This window comes from Homo sapiens, chromosome 2 (assembly GCF_000001405.40).
Source record: "Homo sapiens chromosome 2, GRCh38.p14 Primary Assembly".
NCBI classification, from domain to species: domain Eukaryota; kingdom Metazoa; phylum Chordata; class Mammalia; order Primates; family Hominidae; genus Homo; species Homo sapiens.
Genome location: NC_000002.12, coordinates 42655447 through 42681974, shown reverse-complemented (window position 1 = coordinate 42681974; position 26528 = coordinate 42655447). Strand labels below are relative to the sequence as shown.

Here is a 26528-nt window from a genome sequence, read left to right as displayed (position 1 = left end):
ATAGCCTCCCAAAGCACTAGGATTAGGTCTCCTTTATTTTTATTTTTTTTTATTTATTTACCTTTTTTTTTTCTTTCTTTTTTTGAGATAGGCTCTTGCTCTGTTACCCATGCTGGAGTGCTGTGGCATGGTCATAGCTCACTGTAACCCTGAAAGTCTAGCCAGGCCACACATCGTGGCTCATGCCTGTAATCCCAGCGCTTTGAGAAGCCAAGGTGGGAGGAACACTTGAGCCCAGGAGTTTTAAGACCAGTGTGGGCAACATAGTGAGACCTGTCTCTGCAAAAATAAAAAATTAGCTGGGCCTGGTTGTGCATGCCTACAGTCCCAACTACTTGGGAGGCTGGGGTGGGAGGAATGCTTGAGCCCAGGAGGTTGAGGCTGCAGTCAGCTGTGACTGTGCCACTGCACTCCAGCCTGGATAACAGAGTGACAGCCTATCTCAAAAAATAAAAATTAAAATAATAAAAATATCAAAGTCACTTCAGCTCTTGTGCAAGATACACAGCACAGCCATTCTTGACCAGGGAAAAATATACAGATTATGTATCAGAGAGTGAGAAAAAAATCTTCTCAGATTGGGTTGAGGAATCATGTACTAAGACAGAAAGAAAACAATGGAGCAGAGTATGATATTTAAGACAAAATTATAAACATGCTGCACAGAAAAAGCAAAACAAAACAAAATTACATATTCATCTTAATATGGTAACTTGGTTGAGATTGTAGAAGACAAAGAATAGATGGCCAGGTTTGCTTGGAACAGCAAGGCCACTGTGGTTTTCTTATATATTTCAAGGGAAAGTGATTTGAAGCACAATTTGAAAGGAGAAAAGATAGATTAGAACACACAAGCACCATAACGTTGAACTCCTGGGCCCGAGGTTACTTCTGCAAAAGTTACTTAGGTCTAGCTTACTTAAAAAGCATTTTCTGGCCAGACACAGTGGCTCACACCTATAATCACACTTTGGAAGGCCAAGGTGGGCAGAATGCTGGTGCCCAGGACTTCGAGACCAGCCTGGGCCAACACAGTGAAACCCCGTCTCTACAAAAAAACAGGCATGGTGGCATATTGCCTGTAATCCCAGCTACTCAGGAGTCTGAGATGAGAAAATCACTTCAGCCCAGGGAGGTCGAGGCTGCAGTGAGCTGAGATCATGCCACTGCACCCCAGCCTGGGCAACAGAGTGATGCCCTATTTTTTAAAAAAGAAGGCATTTTCCTCCAATCAGAACAATGAATAACTAGGTTCCAAAACTTCGAGGTTTGAAAAACCTTTGATTTAAAGAGAGTCATCCATAGCATGTACATACATGTGTATGTGTAACAGGAAAACTGAAAAGCAACAAAATCATCTCTGCCTATGTCGCGGATTAGCACATGGGTGCTGCAAAGTGATCTAATTCTTGCCCAAGTGAGAACTAGTTCTGTTTTTCTCCCCACCTCTCACCCCCACCCAGACTTTCTAACACATAAACTTAAAGTCTTGCACCTTTTACGCAAAGTATCTCCTGCTACTTATTAAAAATTTCACAAATGGGGATAGCTTCACTTCTACGCAACAATAGAACTCTTAAAAATTTAGCTTTTGGCTTAAGTCGTGCATCTCCAAGCCCGCCACCAGTCAAGGTCTCAGTGCCAGCTATGCCACTGCAGCTGTCACTATGGCCCATTAGAACACTGCTAACTCGAAGATCAAGCAATTCTGGAGGTGCTTAGGGCTCTGGGGTGCTGAACGAAGGTGCTGGTAGCCTTAGAAAAGAACCAGAGAAACCTAATACTGCTTTGGTTTTTTTAAAGCATCACTTAGGAGTTGCTATCCCAGAAAATCCAGAAATAGAAGTGCTTCCCCTAGAATTGACAGAAATGAAAGATAAATATGAACGACCTCAGGTGAAGTGTGCCAGATAGGATTCTTCTCAGTGGAAAAGACACTAAAAAATGGTTTTGTATAACTTGAATAGTTTGTATATTATATAATCTTTTCTAGATAGATGCTACAGAATTCTTTTAATCTGTTACATTCACCTACCACACTTTATTATAAACACACTTAGAATCATCTATAAATACTCAATGTAAATTGTTTTGAGTCTTAAAGAAAAGAATCCAAAGTGGGGAAAAAAAAAAACAACACACAGCCATCTAATTCATTACCTTAAAAGATATTCTGTTTGTCTGATGAGGAACTATGGTGCTGGTTGTATTTTTGCCAATGAAGTTTAGCATGGAGGTAATCCTTGGTGTAGCTTAAAAAACGAGTACAGCCATTCTTTAAAATGAAGAAGGCACTGTTGTTTATATTTCCTGTAGGCAGCTGGAGAGATCTGTGTGACACAAGATGCTTCTGCATGGGTTCCCATGAATCTTCTGTTCTTGTTTATATAATGTGGAACAAATAACTCTTCTTTGCCACCACTGTGCCTTAGGTAACTGTGTGTGCCAGTCAGAAGTCTGACACCACGTTTTCCTTCTAGGCTATCATGCCCTATCTGATCATCTTTCCTTGCTTCACTCTGTGCTTTAGTGAAGCCTAGTTGCACATTGGCCTTTCTGTGCGGTTTTCAATTTGCTTAATGATAGCGGTTACCCCAATTGTAACTTATATAACTTTAAACAGAATCACACTATTCCCCGCCTTAGTTGAGCACAGAACAAAGGCAATATAAAATCTGGGGTTCACGCACAAGTTGGGATGAGAAGGGGAGTGAGCCATAATATCATGGAAAATTATACTTTCTAAGTATAATCGCAGTGATGTTTCTCTCAAAGTATTTTTCTAGCCTAGAATTCATTTTACCTTCATTATTCCTGTGAAGTAGGTAGGGCAAGTATGAGGGGAAGTTGGGTGCTGAATTTTTAGGTCAAAGACTGATAATAATACAAGGTATTTGCTCATTGTAGAACCTGGGGCACCAGATCAGTTAACTGCTCTGAGACTCACTTTCCTTGTTTGTTAAATGAGAAGAATATCCATGCTGCCTACCTCACAGGCTTGTGAGGGTCAAATGAGAATGTATGTGAAAGATCATTTCTTATTTGTATTTTTTTAAAATAGCTTTTAAGTGATCCCTCACTATCTGGTAGGAGACTGTAGGAGAGCTCAAATGTCAACTAACATCTATTAAAGTGAAAACATTATTAGCAAAAGTATGCATTAATATGTATGTATATGTATGTATACACACACACACAGTGATGCATTAACTAAGATAATGATAAGGGTATAGATTATGAATTTGTTCACCGAGTAACGGCAGTATTTAGAACATGTAAACATGTTTAGGTACAGTAAATAACTGCTTTAACAAGGGTTGACATCTCACTTAAAATCAATCATTGGGGCCAGGTGCGGTGGTTCACACCTGTAATCCCAGCACTTTGGGAGGCCAATGCAGGCGGATCACTTGAGGTCAGGAGTTTGAGACCAGCCTGGCCAATATGGTGAAACTCTGTCTCTACAAAAATTAGCTGGGTGTGGTGGCAGTCACCTGTAATCCCAGCTACTCAAGAGGCTGAGGCAGGAGAATCACTTGAACCCAGGAGGTGGAAGTAGCAGTGAGCCGAGATCACGCCACTGCACTCCAGCCTGGGCGGCAGAGTGAGGATCTGTCAAAAAAAATAAATAAATAAAAATAAAAATAAATCATTGGCTTTCACAAAACAGAAGTAGGGATTTCATGAACAATTTCCGAGTTATAATCATAACAAAGGCCACTGGCCATGTGTAGTCTTCTGTTGTATGTGTCACAACCATGGAACAATGACTTCCAACTTTGAAGTGAATTTCCTCTCACTCTTCTGCAGCAGAGGTTGAAAAAAAAAAACAAAACACAAGAATTGATCTTGGTTCTTCAGCTTTTGCTCTGCAAATTTCAGAATCAGCTAAATTCTGCAGCTAAGCTAACTAGACAGACTGTGTAGTTTAGCTGTAGTATGTACTTTTACACACTTCTACATCAACTCCATTGTACATACAATGTAGTATGTACCCCATTATTCATGATTTTACTTTCCAAGGTTTCAGTTACCCGTAGCCAACTGTGGTCTGAAAATAGATGAATATAGTACAGTAAGATATTTGTGTGTGTGAGAGAGACAGGGAGGGAGCGCACTGTATTAGTCTGTTTTCACACTGCTGATCAAGACAAACCTGAGACTGGGAAATTTACAAAAGAAAGAAGTTTATTGGACTTACAGTTCCACATGGCTGGGGAGGCCTCATAATCATGGTGGAAGGCAAGGAGGAGCAAGTCACGTCTTACATAGATGGCAGCAGGCAAAAAGCAAGAGGTTGTGCAGGGAACTCCCATTTTTAAAACCATCAGGACGAGGTACGGTGGCTCATACCCGTAATCTCAGTACTTTGGGAGGCTGAGGCAGGCGGACTGCCTGAGCTCAGGAGTTTGAGACCACCCCTGGACAACACGGCGAAAACCCATCTCTACTAAAATACAAAAAATCAGCCAGGCATGGTGGCACATGCCTGTAATCCCAGCTACTCAGTAGGCTGAGGCAGGAGAATCACTTGAACCCAGGAGGCGGAAGTTGCAGTGAGCCAAGATTGCGCCACTGCACTCCAGCCTGGGTGACAGAGCGAGACTCCATCTCAAAAAATAAAAAATAAAAAAAAAATAAATCAGATCTCATGAGACTTATTCACTATCACGAGAACAGCACAGGAAAGACCTGCCCCCATGATTCAATTATCTCCCCCGGTGGTCCCTCCCACAACACGTGGGAATTATTGAGTTACAGGATGAGATTTGGGTGGGGACACAGAGCCAAACCATATGAAGCACAGTCACATATCTTTTATAATGGTATATTCTTATAATTGTTCTATGATTATTCTTGTTGATCTCTTACTGTGCCTAATTTATAAATTAAACCTTATGTTAGGTATAGTGTAGAGAAAAAAAAGTCTGATTCAGTGCCATCCTCAGCTTCAGGCATCCACTGAGGGTGCTGAAATATATCTTCTCTTGGAAAAGAAAGACTACTGTAATTATTGTTTCTTAATAACTAACCTCATGAAAATGAAAAGAAAGATCAATAGCATTTAGGGACCTTTTCAGTTAATAATCCCATAAACAATTATTTTTTAAACCTTCTAAATTTACAATAAATGAAAAAACTAAAAGATTAAAAGATACTCAAAAATGCTAAAATTCCTCAAAATAAAAATAATTTATCTTTTTCTTTGGAGACAGGGTCTCACTCTGTTGCCCAGGTTGGAGTGCAGTGGCATGATCTCAGCTCACTGCAACATCTGCCTCCTGGGCTCAGATGATCCTCCCACCTCAGCCTCCCAAGTAACTGGGACTACAGGTGCATGCCACAATGCCCAGCTAATTTTTGTATTTTCAGTAGAGACAGGGTTTTGCCATGTTGCCCGGGCTGGTCTCCAACTCCTGGGCTCAAGCGATCTGCCTGTCTTGGCCTCCCAAAGTGCTGGGATTACAAGCATGAGCCACTGCATCTAGCCAAAAGAAATTTTTATAATTAACAGGGGCTCTGAAACCAGTCACAGAATTAAGTGCATTTTTCTCAGCTGATGCTACACCAACCACTCAAATCATGAATGGATTTTCAGTTTTGTGTTCATGTTAAATGAGTGAAACTGCTTTTCTTATGGATACTTTTTTAAATGATGATGGGCTGTTACCTAAAGGGCTTCAAAGAACTGAAGTAGTATCTTAGCCTTCATCAAGTGATTATGACAAAAAATGATTATATTCATTGTTTCAAAGGTTCTACTCTTTAGTGTTTAGTTTGTGTTCCTGAACACTGAAGGAACCATTTGCTTTCAGAGGAGGAGCTCCTGTACTGTCTCAAATCAAATGAGAAAGAATACATTGGAATTACTGTTCACCAGGAGATATGAAACCTCCAAAGCGCACATTTATACCAAAGACCAAAGGAGAGGAGAGTAAAGCTCAGAATGTGTAGAAAGTAAACACTCATCAGGTGTGTACACTGTGGAGTTACTAGGAAATAATTCCTTTGAAACTGACCAACTTCATAAAGGAAACCAGAGAATCATATTATGTGCCAGAAGTCCATATAAACCCCATCTTTCTGATACACACAGAAGTTTCTTTTGAATGGACTTTACGTAGTCTAATCTTACCCTTAAGAGCTTTACATGAATACAGTTTCTATAACAGAAGAGACAAAATCCAGTAGAGAAAATGTAGGGTAAATAAAGAAAATAAGCTAGGAAAAGACACAGTAACATAACACAGGACCAACGACTTGCGGTTTATCAGTAAGATAACACAAATTTGAAATGCCAGAGAAGTTTGAAAAAATGAACAACTAATTGATTGTTAGAGAAGGCAGAATAGTGATTTCCTAACTGGAGAGGAGCAGAAGGGAAGCTGTTGAGATACTGGTAATGTTCTTTACCATCTAGTGGTGGTTACACGAATATATACACAGGTAAAAATGTTTAAGCTGTGTAACAAACTGTAGGGCACTCTATATATGTTACCATATGTATACCTCAATTTAAAATAAGAAAAAGAATTTTGAGGCTGGGTGCGGTGGCTCACACCTGTTAATCCCTGCACTTTAGGAGGCCAACGCAGGCGGACCACGAGGTCAGGAGTTTAAGACCAGCCTGGCCAACAGAGTGAAAGCCCATCTCTACTAAAAATACAAAAATTAGCTGGGTGTGGTGGCATGCGCCTGTAGTCCCAGCTGCTCAGGAGGCTAAGGTAGGAGAATCGCTTGAACTCAGGAGGCGGCTGTTGCAGTGAGCAGAGACGTCACCATTGCACTCCAGCTGGGTGACAGAGTGAGACCTCGTCTCAAAAAAAAGAAAAAAGAAAAGAAATAGAAAAGGAATTTTGAAACTAAGCATTAAAAAGCTAAAAGTTGGCCAGGTACATTGGCTCAGGCATGTAATCCCAGAGCTTTTGAGAGGCCCTGGGAGGCCAAGGCAGGAGTTCGAGACCAGCCTCAGCATTAATTTTTTAATTTTAAAATTTAATTAATTAAAAAATTTTAATTAGCTGGGCACAGTGTTGAGTGCCTATATTAAAAAAAAAAGAAAGAAAGAAAACTAGGCCAGGCGCAGTAGCTCACGCCTCTAATCCCAGCACTTTGGGAGGCCGAGGCGGGCAGATCATCACGAGGTCAAGAGATCAAGACCATCCTGGCCAACATGGTGAAACCTCGCCTCTACTAAAAACACAAAAATTAGCCGGGCATGGTGGCACGCGCCTGTAGTCCCAGCTACTCGGGAGGCTGAGGCAGGAGAATCCCTTGAACTCAGGAAGTGTCAGTTGCAGTGAGCTGAGATCGGGCCACTGCACTCCAGCCTAGTGATGGAGTGAGACTCCGTCTCAAAAAAAAAAAAAAAAAAAAAGAAGAAGAAAACTAAACTAAAAGTCTTCCCTCCAGATTAAATACTTTGCAAAGATACCATGTTTTCAATAGAGATACCAATACACATTGCACGATCCATTCAAATCTAAATTGTAAAAATCTTAAGAACCCAGCACAAGCTGTTCTCTCTGCCAAAAAGCAGTGAAGGTGTTGTCACATTTCATCTCATTCATAACAGATGGAGATGACAAAAAGAAGTATTTTAGGAGAAAGACTGACAAGTAAATCTTGGCAATGGAATTCTCATCTTTTGTTAAGCAGAACCACACTATGGGTAGATTGGACTATTGTTCAGCAAATATTCATTCCCTCCCCCACACCTCCACAGGAGAGTATTCTTCCACTCCACTGATGTTGGGCTTGGCCATGTGACTTGCTTGGCAAATAGGATGTTAGGATATGTGACATAACTGAGCCTTGACAAGTGTTTGCACATTTGGCCTTGCCCTCTTGTGCTACTGAGTTTTGTCCATGGAGGATGAGAAATACATGGAGCAGATCTGGACCCAACCTATAGCTTGGCACCTACATCAGAGCCCAGTCTAGCTCAGCAGAATCCTAGACAATCTGCAGATGAGTGTATCAGAAATCAATGCTTGTTGTTATAAGCCACTGAAATTTGGGCAGTGTAATAGATGTGTTTTCCTCTTTGAGACTAAAGAACTTAATTCACCTAGTTGCCAGAAGTGTTGTGAATAAGACAGTCCTCAGCTGCTGATCTTTTTCGGAATTATTTCAATTCAAGAACAATTCATCGTGAAAGTCCACACACTCTTCCTGGAGCAACCTGCATCCAATAATGCAGGGCTGTAAAGGCCCAGCTTTTCACCCTGATTTGGGATGCCACAAATCAGCTGGAGTCAGCTGAGGCCTTCATTCGATTGTATCCACCTCCTCCCACTAGTCAATCCTGCCTCCTTGCCTTTTATTCCACAAGTGCTGATCCCAAGGGGAATCCCTAATAAATTTCCCACATAAAAACTGCTATCAGAATCTGCTTCCAGGGAACCCAACCTGTAAAATGCAGTATTATGACAACAGCTAACTGATACACATATACTATATTCAATACTAACTGCAAATGCTCTGCAACTGATGGCTACGTCCCAAAAAACTCATCATAGGTTGAAAATATCATAAGTCAAAAGTGCATTTAATACCCTGATAAACCCATTGTAAAAAACAAAACAAAGCAAAAATTGTTAAGTTGAACATCCTAAGTCGAGGGCCATCTGTACTGATTTGTTCAGTTACAATTTCACAAAAACTTCACATATATACCTCCTACAGGAATTACAGCATTCAGAATATCACATCTATTTAAAAATTAATAACCACATTCTTTTTTTCCAAGCAGAGGAAGATTATAATAAACTCTCATGAGTAAACCTCAAACTGATATGGACAAAGTTTTTCATATGCTGGTCTGGTGTGGTGGCTCACACCTGTAATCCCAGCACTTTGGGAGGTCAGAGGGGGGCGGGGGTGGATCACTTGAGGTCAGGAGTTCAAGCCCAGCCTGGTCAACATGGCAAAACACCATCTCTACTAAAAATACAAAAATTAGCTGGACATGATGGCGCGCACCTGTAATCCCAGCCACTTGGGAGGCTGAGGCAGGAGAATCGCGTGAACCCAGGAGGCAGAGGTAGCAGTGAGCTGAGATTGCACCATTGCACTCCAGCCTGGGTGACAGAGGCAGACTCCGTCTCAAAAAAAAAAAAAAAAAAGCTTTTTATACGTAAAAAAGTTTGCCATCTACTTTCAATTTTTGCTTTAATGCATAGATATAACAAAACCCCTCATCCAACAAACTTGCTAAGGCTTAGCTGGCATCCACTCAAATCAACCTAAAAGACACCCTGAGTCATGTTCTTGTGTGTACTCACACCTTTTGATTACTTTTTTTTTTTTTTTTTTTTTTTTTTTTTGGAGATGGAATCTTGCTCTGTGACCCGGGCTAGAGTTCAGTGGCACGATCTCGGCTCACCGCAATCTCCACCTCCCAGGCTCAAGAGATTCTCGTGCCTCAGCCTCCCAAGTAGCTGGGATTACAGGCGCCCACCACTACACTCAGCTAATTTTTTTGTATTTTTAGTAGAGATAGGGTTTCACCATGTTAGCCAGGCTGGTTTTGAACTCCTAGCCTCAAGTGATCCACCCGCCTCGGCCTCCCAGAGTGCTAGGATTACAGGCGTGAGCCACTGCACCTGGCCTATTTTTTTTTTTTTTTAATAGAGAGGAGGACTTACTATGTTGACTCAGGCTGGTCTCAAACTCCTGGTCTCAAGCTTTTAAGTGATCTTCCCACCTCAGCCTCCCATGTACCTGTGATTACAGGTGTACACCAACATACCTGGCTCTTTTTTATTATTATCACAAGAAAGCTACAGGGGACAATAGGTCACAGTGACCCCATGTCCCCAGATGTCATTTCCAAACTTACTATGAGCGTAATTAAAAGTTATTGCCACCTGGCTGTGATTCTTGGCACAAACCAGACAAATATGTGAAAACAACTGTGTGAAGACACTGGAGAACCAATACAGGCAAGGAGAGGTGATGATCCCTCTGAAAAGTGTAATAGTTGAGTTTCCACACTGATCTTGGCCTTTATCATGAGGGTATTTTCTAGACTGCTATAAGGTGAAATCGAGCCAAACAGCAAGTTTCCTTTTTTACTAGTCTGATGTGACAAGCATCAGACCTTGATGTTGCCAGAGTCAGTAAGGCCCAGGGAGCAAAATACTGGGGAGGATCCTATTCCAGGCCCTAACAGAAATCTCAAGACATGGAAACAATTGGTAGCACACATGTTCTCTGACCACATTCTCAAAGGCAATTAAAATAGGTAGATGAGCCACACTTCCTTCTAAATTAACTCACAAGTTAAATTAAAAATTATAAGGCAAATTAGTGAATATTTAGAACCAAATGATAATAAAAATACTACATACTAAAAGATATGTGCTACAGCCAAGGTGATAATTAGAGGGACATTCACAATCTTGTATGTTTATCATGAAAAGTAATTTTAAAAAGGTCTTAAAAAGGCTAGCAAAAGAATATTAGAGTAAACCTAAAGAAAAGCAGAAGAAAATAAGAGTAAAAATAAACAGAATATGTACCACTTTTTTTTAATTACCAAAATTAAGTTCCCATTCTTTTAGATAACTAATAAAGAAACCTCAGGCAAAACAATCAAGAAAAAAAGGTTATGTGATACATATAAACAATAACAAGAATGAAAATCTATTTGTAACTACAAATACGGCAAACTGTTTAAAAATACTGTAAAAATGTTAAATTTGAAAATTTTAGGGGGAAATATATAATCTCCTAGATGGACATAACTGACCAAAATGGACTTAAGTAGAACAAAAATTTATTCTAATTATAAATCAGATTATAACCATAACCCACACTGAAGGACATTCTACAAAATAAGTGGCCTGCACTCTTCAAAATACCATGGTCATAAAACACAAAGAAAGACTAACGAATCGTTCAGGAATGAAAGAGACTATGAAGATACAACAACTAAATGTCACAAGTGATTCACAAGGAAATCTTGGGCCAGAATTTTTTTTTTCTTTTGCCATAAAGAACATTACTGGGACAACTAACAAATCTGAATAAAGTCTCTAGATTAGACAACAGTACTGTAACAAGGTTAATTTCCTGAGTCCGATTATTATACTGAACTAATATATGAGAATATCCTTGGTTTTTATTTTTAGGAAATACTCTTTCAAATATTTAGCAGTAGAGGGACATTTATTCTGAAATTTTACTTTCAAACTGTTAAGAACTATATATATATATATATATAGTGTTAGAGTTTATGGAAGGCCATTATTTTGGACTGAGCTCTCGCACTAGGCCCCAGCAGATCAGACTAGAAAGCAGTCACTTGTGCTTAGTGCCAAGATTCACAGCAACCAATCAGAAGGGGCCAGTTTACCTGAGTAGGCATAAGGAAGTCCTCTCTATTTTAAGGAAAGCAACTTTGAAACAACCAATCTGCTTCTTGTTCCCTGTTTCTGCTTTTCTTCAGCCCTTTCCTGTCTATAAAGCCAATCACCTCTGCTCAGCTCATCAGAATGCTTATTCTACTTTATAGATAGAATAAATGAAAGCCAATTAGATGCTTAAACTAAATTCTCTAATTTGTGTCATTTGACAATAATAATAATAAAGCAAATGTGGTAAAGATGGTAACAACTGGGGAATCTGGATGAAGTGAATACAGGAAGTCTTTGCACTATTTTTGTATTACCACAAAATACAAAGTTTTAAGATTTTTTTTTTTTTTTTGACACGGAGTTAAGCTCTTGTTGCCCAGGCTGGCGTGCAATGGCGCAATCTCAGCTCACTGCAACCTGCACCTCCTGGGTTCAAGCGATTCTTCTGCCTCAGCCTCCCAAGTCGCTGGGATTACAGGCATGTGCCACCACGCCCAGCTAATTCTTTGTATTTAGTAGAGATGGGGTTTCACCATGTTGGTCAGGCTGGTCTCGAACTCCTGACCTCAGATGATCTACCTGCCTTGGCCTCACGCCTGGATTACAGGCATGAGCCACCATGCCCAGCTAGTTTTAAGAAATTATAACCACAAGCCTTCCACTAACTCATACTTGTAAATACAAATCTTTCCACCAATTATCCTAGACAAAGTTGCTAAAACAATTCTCTTTCTATTTCTCCCAAGTTCAAATCTACAGTGCCTTTCTGATGTTTCTATATTCATGTGAAATTTGTAGGAGAAAAAGTAAAAGGCTGTATTTACCCCAAAAAAGAAAAAATCTCATTAAAGCTTAAATTTAAAAGGAAAAGATGGATTAATAGACCATAAAACACACAAACAATTCTCCTAGGATAGTCTGCAGCGTCTCCACACTCATCTGTAATAGATCATCAACAAAAAGACGTGTGTGTAATGTAGAATATTATTGCTTTAATGATGTATTTAGCAGGAAGAAAAATTTCGTGTTTCCTATTTTTTACTGCAGTGCTAGTCCATTAGTACTAATTCTAATTTTATAGCCTTGGAAACATGAACAGTACCCGTGATAAGTTTTTCATGGGTTTTTAAGTTATACGAATCCCCATCAATTTTATGTCCATTTTGAAGTCTAGATTTCTGACATAAGTTGATATCTAAAATGCTAATCAAAAGATTAATATTTTCTGGCCAGGCGCAGTGGCTCACGCTTGTAATCCCAGCACTTTGGGAGGCTAAGGTGGGCAGATCACTTTGAGGTCAGGAGTTTGAGACCAGCCTGGCAAACATGGTGAAAAGCCCATCTCTGCTAAAAACACAAAAATTAGCCAGGGGGGCAGGGGTGCTTGTAATTCCAGATATTCAGGAGGCTGAGGCAGGAGAATCGCTTGAACCCAGAAGGTGGAGGTTGCAGTGAGCCAAGAACTAACCACTGCACTCCAGCCTGGGTGACAGAGCGAGACTACCTCCCAAAAAAAAAAAAAAAAAAATCTGTATTTTCTGTTGTGCCTTCTAAACTATCCTCAATTCCCAGTACCCACAAGGCCCTAAATGAAACAAGACTCACAAACAAACAGAATGAAGTACGTGATTGATGGCTAGCATTTTTATAAAGCGTTAGTATCTGAAGAATAATAATACTGTTAGGTCAACTTTCCCTCATCCAAAAAATAAATTGTCTTTTCTAAGTTATTCTTGATGGGAAATTTTTTTTTGAAAAAATTATAGCTTGTTTTAAGAGGAAGATTATATGAAAGATTATATTAACAGCCTTTGTTCACCACTTTTAACTCTTACAGTGACTTCTTGTAACAATTATATTAAATGGTATGGTTAATCATAGCCTAATGACCATATTTAAACTTGATAATCTACTAAAATAATAAACACGGCATGACAAAATACCTATCAGACAATCAATAAGGCTATAAAATCAGAAGTAAATGAGGCTCAACAAAGATTATGGGTGAAAAAGACAAATGCACCATTGTCGTCTTCTCAACAATAACAACTAATATTTATTGAGCTCTGACACTGTGCCAGATACTGCTCTGAACACTTTACAAGTAATTATCTCAATTCATCCTCAAGTTGATGTCATGTGGGAACTCAGCGGCAGCCTTTTTCCGAGGCTGGAAGGTCGCAGGGGTCTTGTTCAGGACCCTGAGGCATTGCCTGCTCTCTCCCAGTAAGGACAGGGCCTCTATGGGGCCTTAAGAGCCAGAAGGGCCCAATGTTTGCAAACATTACCTAAAATGAAGGTACATAAACTGCTGAATAAATCAGTCAGTTGTCTTCCAGCCAACCTGAGCAGCTAATGTTGCAAACAGCTCTAAGCCCTCCACAGAATCCAAGGCCCCCAGAAAAGGAGCCCCCAACTGCCTCTACTTTGAGGAGCCACTGCAGTTCCACTGAGTTCTGAATCCTTGGTTACACGTATCAGCAACTCATAGTGTGGCTGCACTCCCTCTTCCTGCCCATCCATAACCTTCCTGAAGCAGAGCAAGTAGGTTTTATTATTACTACCACTGCTGATGAGGAAACTCAGACAAAGGTAGGTTAAGTAACTTGCGCCGGGCTACACGGATCATACATGAGCTACAGATTGATGGGGGAAAAGAAAGAATCATAAAAATGTCTCCATTTGTACACCTTTGTTCATAGCAGGGTTATTCACAACAGTCAAAAGATAGAGGCAACTCAAGTGGCCACTGATAAAGTAACATAATGTGGTATATACACACAATGTATTATTACTTAGCATTAATAGCTGGGAGTGGTAGCACATGACTGTAGTTCTAGCTATTAATACTTGGTAGGCTCAAGTAGGAGGATCACTTGAGCCCAGGAGTTTGAGGCTGCAGTGAGCTATGATCACGCCACTGCATTCCAGGCTGAGGGACAGAGCAAGACTGACTCTCTCTCTCTCTCTCTCTCTCTCTCTCTCTCTCTTTCTCTCTCTATACACACACACACACACACACACACACACACACACACACAATTTTTAAATGATGGAAATTCTGACACATGGTACAACATTAATGAACCTTGAAAACATGCTAAGTGAAAATAAGCCAGTAACGAAAAACTTATGAGATACTGAGAGCCGTCAAATTCATAGAGACAAAAGTAGAAGGGTAGTGGCTAGAGGGCAGAGGGGATGGAGAGTTAGAGTTTAATGGGGATGAGGTTTCTGTTTGGGAAAATGAAAATGTTCCAGAGATGGATGGTGGTAATAGTTACCAACAATGTGAATGTATGTAATGCCAGAGTGAATCTACTTAATACATTTAAAAATGGTGAAAAGGAGTTTTGAAATTATAATAAAATATATATAACACAAAATTTAAGTGCATCACAGCTGGGCATGCTGGCATACACCTATAATCCTAGCTACTCCTCGGGAGGCTGATGCAAGAGGATTGCTTGATCCCAGAAGTTCAAATCTGGCCTGGGCAACACAGCATGACCCCATCTCTTAAAAAGGATGAGGGGTATGTGGCAGCATGCATGGTATGCTTAAAACTTCCTACAGTTCATAGTGTTCAGACTGTGTGTGTACAGCTCTGGGGATATAATAAAATTAGAATTCAAATACACATATACACATCACTCTTAGTGATGAGACGCTCTCTATAAAACATTAAAATGCTTAAACAAAGGAACAGAAAACAATATATTGCAATGACCTATTTCAATAAGAACCTATGTCCCAGAGAAAGAAGCTAATTTACTCATTCTCAAATATTTAGTGAACACCTATATATATATGCCAGGCACTATGCTTGGTGCTGGGAATTCAATGGTGAGGAAAAACAGATGCAGTAACTACACTAAGGGATATAACAAGCTGGTATGCAGGGAATGGGAAGGAGAGAAAGAGACACAAAATAATCACAAAAATGAGTTTTTAATTATAGACCTGGCTCTCTACATAAGCACATCACAAAGCAACCTGCCCTAAAGTGATGGATTAGCCAAGATGTGGTTTTAAACAGAGTTAACTATGTGGGGCTATGAGAGCATCAGGGAAAGGGACCTGAACATGCAAGTCCTGTGGCAAGACACAAAACCAAAGGAAGGGTACAGCCTGGCTGGAGTCCAGAGGACGGAGGACTGTTTGGGCAAAGGGGCTATAGACAGAGGCCAGGCAAAACTCAATAGTTTTGTTGACTACAGTACCAGTAATGATCTAAGTTTTAACCCTACATGCAATTAAAAGCCACTAAAAGGATATAAGGTAGGAGGTAGCAAAATAAAATAACAGTTACGCTTTGTTTTGTTTTGTTTTTTTCAGATGGAGTCTCGCTCTGTCACCCAGGCTGGAGTGCAGTGGCACGATCTCGGCTCACTGCAACCTCCGCCTCCCGGGTTCAAGTGATTCTCCTGCCTCAGCCTCCCGAGTAGCTGGGACTACAGGTGCGTGCCACCACACCCAGCTAATTTTTTGTATTTTTAGTAGAGACGGGGTTTCACCGTGTTAGCCAGGATGGTCTCAATCTCCTGATCTCGTGATCCACCCACCTCAGCCTCCCAAAGTGCTGGGATTACAGGCGTGAGCCACGGCACCTGGCCAACAGTTACACTTTTAAAAGATCAGATATAACATAGAAATCAGAGGTGTTCCAGGACACAATTTCCTCCCTCCTAAATCAACACAGCTTGGCCTTTCTCAGAACCAGACCTGGCATTAGGCAACCTAAATTTCTAGTCCTGATTATGTCACCAATTAAATGTCAGTCCTTATACAATGTATTGTTTTGTCCCTTCGGCTCATCACCTGTAAAACAGTCTTCTCTAGAAGGCGCATCAGGCTCCAAACTAACTCAAAAACTTCTTTCTCTTTTATTCTTACCCCTCCTCCCCAAATTATTTAGTCTTCAAAGTCCAGGCAAAAGTGTAAGCCAGTACCTTCACTTTGGCAGGTCTAAGGCTTCGATCCAGCTCCCTCACAATGCTCATGACATTCTGTTCTTCAAGCCAGGGGAGTGCAGACCTTGCTCTGGCCAACACCACCAAACAGGGAGTCAGAAGCTGTAACTTCCATCAACTAACTCACTGCCACTTACTAACTAATGCAGGATTTCCTTGGTTCTAAGGAATTTTGTTCCCATGGGGGTAATGGTAGAAAGGATCAATGTAAGTACTGTAAACCTACTTTTTCTTTCTTTCTTTTTTTTGAGAGGAAACTTGCTCTGTCACCCAGGCTGAAGTGCAGTGGCACAATCTCGGATCACTGCAACCTCCACCTCCCTGATTCAAGCGATTCTCCTGCCTCAGCCTCCCGAGTAGCTGGGACTACAGGCACGTGCCACCACATCCAGCTAACTTTTGTATTTTTAGTAGAGATGGGGTTTCACTATGTTGCCCAGGCTGGTCTCGAACTCCTTTGACCCACCTGCCTTGGCCTCCCAAAGTGCTAGGATTACAGGCGTGAGCCACACTGCCCAGCCCTATATTCTTCTTTGTATATTGTATAAAACAGATCTTATATTTTAACAAAACGAGTGAAACCTATAAAGCCCCCATGGCTTCAATGTTTTTTAACAATTATGAATCTTATATATTTTAGATTAGCAGTGTTTGAAATTCACAGCTCAACTATATTCATAACAGATTTCAAAATGAGGATGTGAGAACTACTGATGTGCAAACAGTTTAATTACCTGCTCCCAATACATTATTGGTGATTTGACAAGTAGCATAAATTGTCTCGGATAAATCGATGTCAGATTAGGAATGCTGACAGCCCATTGAAGTCCTCAGAATAAAAGTCACAAAGAAAATCACTTAGGAAGGGCTATCAGGTTTCAGCAGTTCCACAACCCTGCCCTCTCTGCAGGCCTCTCAAAGAGGTCTTCAGATCCAAGGTTTGATCACCTAATAGAAAAAGGTGCTAAAGCGATCAGAATAGGACCGTAATTAGTCGGCAGTGGTGGCGGACGCCTGTAATCTCAGCTACTGGCTGAGGCAGGAGACTGAAGCAGGAGAAACACTTGAACCCAGGAAGCAGAGGTTGCAGTGAGCCAAGATCACGCCACTGCACTCCAGCCTGGGCAACAGAGCAAACTGTCTCAAAAAAAAAAAAAAAAAAAAAAAAAAAAGGTAAGCGGGGTGAGGGGGTAGTAGGACCATAAATACTCAAAGAAAAGAATGTGACTCCCCAAATTCAACTGAATGATGAATCCATTTTCATTTAATGGTACAAAACAACCAATGAACCTTTCATATGTTCTTTTTGGGAAACAATCTGCAAAGCTCATTATCAACATACTAATAATTAATTTTTAACCATACTACTCAATTTTATAAATGCCTCAGGATCTAAGAGTCTAAGTAAAGCTGAACCTAAAGCAGTATGAGAAGGAAACCATGGTATTTAAATGTTGCAAGCAAAAAAACACATCTTCTTCAGTGCTGCCTCAAAGAAAGACAATAATGACGCTTAAATCCAAGTCATTCTAACAAAAATGAGGTGGAAGGGTAGATAGAAGAGGTAATCTGACAGAGGAGAGATAACTACTCAGGAGGAATCAAGTGCAGATCCAAACCCTATCTCTGAAACCAGCTATACAAACATGACAAAACACCACTTCCTGAGCCTCTGAGCCTACTTCTGCTTTAGAAAATAATTACGGTAATAAATAACTAGAAAGAATATATGTGATACAAAAGTAATCGGACCTCAAAATTACTAAGCTTCAGAATGGAAACAAAACAGGAGAGATAAAAAACACTGAAGGGTGTGAAGGTAACTTCCTAGAAGGAGCATAAGAGGCAAGTATTACAGAAACTACACAGAAAATGATTATTTATGAAACAGAGTCTTACTCTGTTGCCTACATTGGGATGATCATAGCTCACTGCAGCCTCGAACTTCTTGGCTCAAGGGATCCCTCCACCTCAGCCTCACGAATAGTTGGAACTACAAGCACTCACCACCATGCCTGGCTAATTTGTTTTGTTTTGTTTTGTAGAGACAGAGTCTTGTTATGTTGCCTAGGCCTGTCTCAGACTCCTGGCCTCAAGTGATCATCCTGCCTCAGCCTCCCAAAGTTTTGAGACTACAGGCATAAGCCAGTGTACTTGGCCATAAAATGATGTTTAAAGGAATTAAGGTATATAGGTAGAATCCTCTTTAAAATGCTTCTTTAAAATATCACCTTCACTGACAACAAATACCAAACCTCTAAAACTGCCCTCTCCCAAAAGAAATTCACCTGCTGTCCTGCACATTCACCAGCAGTGGGAAGCAGTGAGCTGCTGCAGCTGTGAACCAAGAGCCCACACAGGCCCTCTCTACCTCAGGCAAGTCAGCCCAGCTGCCACGAGAACTCTCCACCATCTCAGGAACAAGCTTTTCCACTTGCACTCAAGCAGGGACCACATCCCCAGTTATAATCTGAGAAGCAGTATCTCATAAGAATAGTGTTAAACTACAAGGGACTGGTTACATAAATAATAGTTTACCTATATAAGATCATGCAACATTAGGGTAAAACTAAGTTCTTGCAGTGATTTTTAAAAAGGTATTTTTATCCGGCCAGGCACAGTGGCTCACACCTGTAATCCCAGCAACTCTGGGAGGCCGAAGTGGGCAGATCACGAGGTCAGGAATTCGAGACCAGCCTGACCAACACGGTGAAACCCGTCTCTACTAAAAATACAAAAATTAGCTAGGTGTGGTGACGTGCGCCTGTAATCCCAGCTACTCGGGAGGCTGAGGCAGAAGAATCACTTGAACCCGGGAAGCGGAGATTGCAGTGAGCCGAGATCGCACCACTGCACTCCAGCCTGGGCGACAGGGCGAGACTCTGTCTCAAAAAAAAAAAAAAAAAGTATTTATATAATATAGTTAGGGAAAACATAGGGGCGGTGGAGGTCATTTAAAACAGTTAAAAAGAAAGTTCACATAAGACTTAGTTATCAAAATGTACTAAAATGTGGTGCTTGCACAGGGAAAAATAGATCTACAAAACAAAAGAGAATAGATTAAAAGTCTATAAACAGGCCTAAGTATATCTAGGAACCTAAAATATGATAAAGGGGCATTACAAATCATGAAGAAACAAATTCAATAAATGGTACTGGGACAATTAATTTAATATATGAGAAAAATTAGATCCCTACCTCACTCTATTCACAAAATTAAACTCTATATAGATTTACAGTCCTAAATATGAAGAAAACTTTAAAACCATTAGAAAAAACAAGACACAAGAAATATATAAATTTATATATATAAATATAACTCTAGTTATAGCCTAAAAACTCACACACATGCTCACAAAGGGATATGTGTGAAATTTTCAACATAGCATTATGAGTAACACAGCAAAAGAAAAACGTTTTGAAAGCACTCCAGATGTTCCCTGGTAACAGAATACATAAATAATGTTGTGTAGTATTATATACAAGAATATTGGAAATAATAGAAAGCAGTTAAAATGAATGAACTGTGTTTATATTTATTAACACGGCTAGATCTCAATAATGGGCAAATGGCAAGTGTTACACAATAAATTTAAGCATATGCAAAAGAATATTTATGTTGTTTTGGAATAATAAATAATACAACTATAAAAACACAGACTACATACATAGCAGATCTGTTACAGTGGCTGGCTCTTGAAAGGAGGCAGAGGTAAAGGGAAGTAGGACTCAGAAGGGAATATTAGAGACTTCAACATTAACTATAATGGTTGAAAAAAAAGTTTTTTAACCTGAAGAACTAAAATATTAACATTTGCTTTAGGTGCCCTTATATGGAGTTTTATTACATTATCCTCTATACTATTCTGTAATTTGCTATTATTATGTATAATGCATAAAAAAGGGCTTAAAGAAAACAAAACAGTAAGAACATTCTACTCTGGGTAATGAGAACAAAGCTTTTTTTGGCTGCTGCTGTACTATTTTTTAATTTTTCATAACAGATATACATTAATTTTTAAATTGAGCAAAAATCACTTTGACCAGGAAAAATATATACAGGTAGTTATTAGATTCCACATAGTTCTGGTTCACATAAATATCTTTTTCTTTTTTTTTTTTTTTTTTTTTTGAGACAGGGTCTCACTCTGTTACCCAGGCTAGAGGGCAAGTGGCATGAGCATGATCTCAGCTCACTGCAACCTCTCCTCCCAGGCTCAAGCAATCTCCCCATCTCAGCCTCCCAAGTATCTGGGAAGACAGGCGCATGCCACCACACCCAGCTAATTTTTGTATTTTTTTGTAGAGACAGGGGTTTCACTATGTTGCCCACCTTGGTATCAAACTCCTGAGCTCAAGCAATCCACTGGCCTCAGCCCCCCAAAGTGAAATATCTGATTTTTAAAGTTCTTGCAAACATGACATCTGTACTCTTGCTTCTCTGATAAAATATTCTCGAAGCTCTAAACAACTGAAATACAAACCCATTTTGGAGATCCTAAAATTTGGGGTAAAATATTAATGTCCCAATGGAGAAAACAAAACTTTCTTCTATGAACAATTCTAGTCTTTGAGAAAGGAAAAGGCAAGGAGTTCCACAGCTTTAGTCACAATCTATAATTGTACAGAAGTACACAAAATGCATAAGAAACAAGGCTGGGAGCAGTGGCTCACAACAGTAATCCCAGCACTTTGGGAAGTCAAGGCAAGAGGACTGCTTTAAAGCCAGGAGGAGTTCAAGACCAGCCTGGGCAATCACATAGTAAGACCCTGTCTTTATTTTTATTATCTGATGTGTATTCCTCTATGAGTTCTTACATTATCAAAATAAATATTTTATGAAAAGCATGTCAAATTGGCATTATGATAAGAAAGTTAAAAACCCATATTGTATTCCATTTCATTAGAAAACAATATTGAAACTTTTGTTACATGTAATGAATACTGGTCAAATAACCTCACCAAACTCAGTTTTCTCGTGTGTAAAATGAGCATCCTACCGTGCCTATCACAAGGGGTAACAGGAATCAAATACAGTAAGTAACTTCAATCAGCAAAAAACTCACAGGTCCACTTTTCTGGAGTGCAGAGAAAGCAGTAAGTGCCAGGTCCTATGCCTGACCACGGCAGCCATTAGTGGTAAAATTAAACTGAATATAGGAAGCTTCATTTGATCACCGAAAGAAAAAAGTAAATAGATTTAAAAGATATCAACTATAATGTAATAAAATTATATAGAAAATAGCCCCTCTGGCCGGGTGTGGTGGCTCATGCCTGTAATCCCAGCACTTCGGAAGGCCGAGGCGGGTGGATCACAAGGTCAGAAGTTTGAGACCAACCTGGCCAACATGGTGAAACCCCGTCTCTACCAAAAATACAAAAATTAGCTGGGTGTGGTGGCACGTGCCTGTAATCCCAACTACTCAGGAGGCTGAGGCACGAGAATCACTTGAACCCAGGAGGCGGAGGTTGCAGTGAGCTGAGATCATGCCACTGCACTCCAGCCTGGTGACAGAGCAAGACTCCATCTCCAAATATAAAAAGAAAGAAAAAAAAAAAAACAGCCCCTCTTTCTAATGAACAGACACAAAAAACTCTCAACTCACAGACGAGTGTTATCATAACCCAGTCAACCAAGTAACCAAGCCAAATCAACCTAGCAGTCAGGAAGGCTAAGAGCCCAAAAGCTCCCGGTCTACAGTATTGCCACAATGGCTTTAAAATTAAACAAGTAACAGAAGGATAAATACCCACAAAATTTCAAACCATGTCTTACCAAGGTGATGTCTCGGGAAGCTGCAGCAGCACTCATATGCAAACTAGGCTGCCTCACAGAACTGCTGCAATCCAGGGCTCTGGCGAATGTCCCAACAGCACTGAATAAACCACAAACACAATAAGGAAGAATTAAGTATCTGTTTTGGTTTGTTTTTTTAACGTTTTAAAAAACACATTTGGATAGTAAATAAAAAACTGTAAAAGAAGAGGCAAAAACAAGTTTCTGAATGAGAATCAAACATCAAATAAAAAGAATTTTCACTCTATAAGATATAATAATTGACAAGCCAATTTACTATAAACAGGTCGTTATCATGAAATCAAGAAAAAAAATAGCCTGTGCAGGGGGTAAAAAAGAAGGAAAGGGAAGCTCTGTTATAACATGTCATGGAGTAAAACATTTATTCAAATTGGCTCAAAAAATAAAAAGTCAGCTGCAGAGTTTGACTATTACAGCAAAGCAAGTTTTGACTACTTTTTAAGCCCAAATTGTAAAACTCAGTTACATTTTTCCCCCAATATATCATTAACTGTAGCAACCCCTTCCTGTGAGGATTCAACATGAAACAGATTTCTACTAAAATCTCATTTAAAAAGAAATTACCATAATGCTGATTTTAATGATTTGGAAGTCCTTCCAATATGTAAGAAACCCTAACCTTAACACATACAGCATAAAATGAAGACTCACTGCTTTTCCTGCCTGTATTTTAAACATGTTTGCTATGGAAGAGATTTTTTATTTTTATTATTTTTATTTTTTGAGACAGGGTCTCACTCTGTCACCCAGGCTGGAGCGCAATAGTATGATCATAGCTCACTGCAGCCTCAACTTCCTGGGCTCAAACAATCTTCCCACCTCAGCTTCCCAAGTAGCTGTAACTATAGGCATGCACCACCACGCCCAGCTATTTTTTTTTTTTTTTTTTGGCTAATTAAAAAAAATTTTCTGTAGACAAGGCCTCCCTATGTTGCCCAGGCTGGTCTGAAACTCCTGGGCTCAAGTGATCCTCCCGCCTCGGCCTCCCAAAGTTTTGGGATTATAGGCATGAGCCATTGTGGTTGACCCCTAAGGAAGAAATTTTATAAATATTTTAATTAAAATACAACAAACATGTTGAAAAGTACACAGTAAACAGATAGTTACTGTAAAGTGAACACATGCATGCCACCAACATACAGTTCAAGAAAGAACATGACCACAACCCAGAGGCTCCTCAAGCTCCTTTCCACAGGGAACCACCACCCTGGATTATAGCACCACAGATTAGTTTTGCTCAAATAGAATCACACAGCTGGATATTACGTCCAGCTTCTTTTGATTAAAATTACGTTTGTGGGTTCATCCATGTTGTTAGCTACAGCTGTATTCACTCATTTTCCCTGTTACGCGACATTCCGTTGTACGACGTCTCATCCCCACCTCCACTCTACTGCTGACAGACATTCCATGTGTTTCCAGTTTGGGGTTACTATGAATAGTGCCATAAATCCATTTGTATACGTATCTTTTGGTGCAAAGGTATATGCATTTCTGCTGCATAGATATTTAGGAGTGAAACTTAAGAGATACTTGTGTTAGATGACAGCAAACAGTATTCCAAAGGAGCTGTACCAATTTACACACTCACCAGCAGGATATGAGAGTATTGGTTCTAAATCTTGATCAATGCTTAGCACTGTCAGTCTTTAAAATTTTAACCATTCTGGTGGATTGGCAGTGGTATTTGACTGTGGTCTTAATTTGCATTTAGAAGATCTTTTTTTTTTTTTTTTTTTTTTTTTTTTTGAGACAGAGTCTTCCTCTGTCGCCCAGGCTGGAGTGCAATGGTGCGATCTCGGCTTACTGCAACCTCCGTCTCGCAAGTTCAAGCAATTTTCCCGCCTCAGTCTCCCAAGTAGCTGGGATTACAGGCACCCACCATCATGCCCAGCTAATTTTTTTTGTATTTTTGTAGAGACGGGGTTTCACCATGTTGGCCAGGCTAGTCTTGACCTCCTGACCTAAGGTGATCTGCCTGCCTTGGCCTCCCAAAGCACTGGGATTACAGGCGGCGTGAGCCACTGTGCCGGGCCCTTTTTTTTTTTTTTTTTTTTAAGAGATGAGGTCTTACTATATTGCCCAGGTTTGTCTTGAACTCCTGGACTCAAACAATCCTCCTGCCTTGGCCTCCCAAAGTGCTGGGGTTACATGCATAAGCCACCATTCCCAGCCTACAAGATTATTTTTTAAAACAAATATTGAAAACAAAAACATACTAGGAACCAACTCCTTGGTGTCCTTCATGCTGGCTTTGAGGGGAAACATACAGCCCTTGGCAATCAGAAAAATGAAAATACAGAATACAAATCTAATTTGAAAATGGCAATGTCTCCTAACCAATCCCCAATCTAGACAGCCTGTCTGGAGACTCTAGACCAATATTCTGTACTCAACAAGGGGCCACAAGATTGGCCCCTTTACAATGCTCATCAAGTGTCTCCATCCAGTCACTTAGTAGTTAGGTGATGGGCTCTGGACTCCAAATGCCTGGCCACCAATAAAAAGTGGGATCGTCCATGGTGACTGGCTCTATGAACAGTGATATCTAAGGATGAGCCAAGACTATTTTTTCCTCTGCATTGTGAAATAAGTTCAACACAAAATCAGACAATAACATAATGAAGACCCTTGCATCCACTGTCCAGATCTAACTCATAGTAATATTTTGCCATGTTTGGTTCATTCTTTTAAAAAATAAATATTATAAATTTGTTAGAGTTCCCTATATATACTCCTAGATCATATATACTATATATACCCATTTAATGTATTTAAAAATCCACTAATAAAATAGTTTTGTACACAGCAAACATTTTATAATTACTCTGTATACACATAAATGATCACATGGTATATACCCTCAACACTATTTGTGATGTTTATCTCTTTGCTACATATAGCTTTAATTCATTCAATTGCCATAAAATAATATTTCACTATATGAGTATACCTCAGTTCATTCATCAATTGCTTGCTGATGTACTTTTACTGTTATCATTTTTTAAATAAAAATAAAATTCTGTCCCATTCATTCTCTTAAGAAAAGGGGAGGAAGGAAGGAAGCCAGCCAGGTAGCCAGGTTGAAAGCTCTCAAGGCAAAGTGCTATGCTTAGCAACAGGCCTTACCCACACATGGATGCGGTGAGCGAATTCCAGGTGCACATTCTTATTGATACCTGAATAATCCATGTCTAGAGTAAAGCTATGTCAAGTAAAAAGGATGACTCTTTTTATTAAGGATGTGGGACTTCAGGTATTTTCTTCAGGTATAAAGAATTTCTTCTTTATACTTTTCTGTTTTCTTAATCAGTAAAAATTAATACAACTATTTTCATTTAAAACAGAAATTAATAAAATTAGGAAGCAGCATAACGTATTAAGCTTTCTTACCTAACTAAAAAAATAATACAATCAGTGGGAGAAAAGCAGAATACAAAGAAATAAAAATACATATACCTATAAATTCTTTTATATAAAGAAATTTATTGACTCAATAATGCCATACTCATACTCACCGTGCTACAACTAAAAACTGGTCAATCTGTCGATCCGTAAGTGGGCTATTTGGATCCCAAACTTTAACTTCCAATTTTGATTGTTCCCTCTCATCTGATTCTCCTGTCCAAAAATAAATAAAATGGAGTCTTGTTACTGACAAGGCATACTGTCTCATACCACTGATGACAACTGTCACCATAGCATTAGAAATGTTTATGTGTAAGGTAAGTGCCCACAGTTTTGGCATATTCTTTCAGACGTAGATGTACAACACCTCGTTAAAGTGAACACTGATGATAATGACACCAAACTAACCGAAAGGTATCTTCATTTAGTCCTTAATGTTTATTTCTGGAGTAGCTGTATGTGAGAGGCAGTAAGTGCCATGCTAAGAGACATAAAGATGAAAATGCAACAGGCTGGGTGCGGTGGCCTGCACCTGTAATCTCGGCACTTTGGGAGGCCGAGGCAGACAGATCACTTGAGGCCAGAAGTTTGAAACAAGCCTGGTCAATATGGAGAAATCCTGTCTCTACTAAAAATACAAAAATTAGCCGGGTGTGGTAGCAGGCGCCTGTAATCCCAGCTACTCGGGAGGTTGAGGCACGAGAATCGCTTGAACCCGGAAGGTAGAGGTTGCAGTGAGCTGAGATTGCGCCACTGTACTCCAACCTGGGCGACAGAGTAAGACTTTGTCTCAGAAAAAAAGAAAGAAAGCATCACTTCCACAAGATGTTTAAACTATGCATAAATACATATGATATAAACCAAATAAATAGAATAAGAGACACATATTAACAGTTATAGCATAAGAATCTGAAGAGTAGAGAAATCATTTCAAGCTAGGTAAGAAACAATATCATGAAGGAGATG

General features: G+C 39.8%; 1 protein-coding gene across 6 annotated transcripts in view, besides 3 other annotated features; it reads right to left on the bottom strand.

The window, feature by feature from the left end:
* MTA3 (metastasis associated 1 family member 3) overlaps positions 1 to 26528 on the bottom strand; it is a 262837-nt gene that overhangs the window by 74972 nt on the left and 161337 nt on the right. For all 6 annotated transcript variants that reach the window (NM_001282755.2, NM_001282756.2, NM_001330442.2 and 3 more), the window contains 2 exons: positions 25673 to 25775; positions 22113 to 22212 (listed from right to left, as the gene is read on the bottom strand). In NM_001282755.2, coding sequence (NP_001269684.1) covers positions 22113 to 22212; positions 25673 to 25775 — 203 coding nt within the window. The remainder of the gene's footprint in view (positions 1 to 22112; positions 22213 to 25672; positions 25776 to 26528) is intronic.
* Positions 7632 to 7926: a silencer, noted in NCBI's record as "tiled region #10188; K562 Repressive non-DNase unmatched - State 23:Low". NCBI's record gives its function as "represses a minimal TATA promoter and a strong SV40 promoter by Sharpr-MPRA in K562 cells {active_cell/tissue: K562}" and the evidence as "EXISTENCE:reporter gene assay evidence [ECO:0000049][PMID:27701403]".
* Positions 7632 to 7926: an enhancer, noted in NCBI's record as "tiled region #10188; HepG2 Activating DNase matched - State 5:Enh". NCBI's record gives its function as "activates a minimal TATA promoter and a strong SV40 promoter by Sharpr-MPRA in HepG2 cells {active_cell/tissue: HepG2}" and the evidence as "EXISTENCE:reporter gene assay evidence [ECO:0000049][PMID:27701403]".
* Positions 18346 to 18395: an enhancer, noted in NCBI's record as "active region_15651". NCBI's record gives its function as "activates an Ori minimal core promoter by ATAC-STARR-seq in GM12878 lymphoblastoid cells {active_cell/tissue: GM12878}" and the evidence as "EXISTENCE:reporter gene assay evidence [ECO:0000049][PMID:35858748]".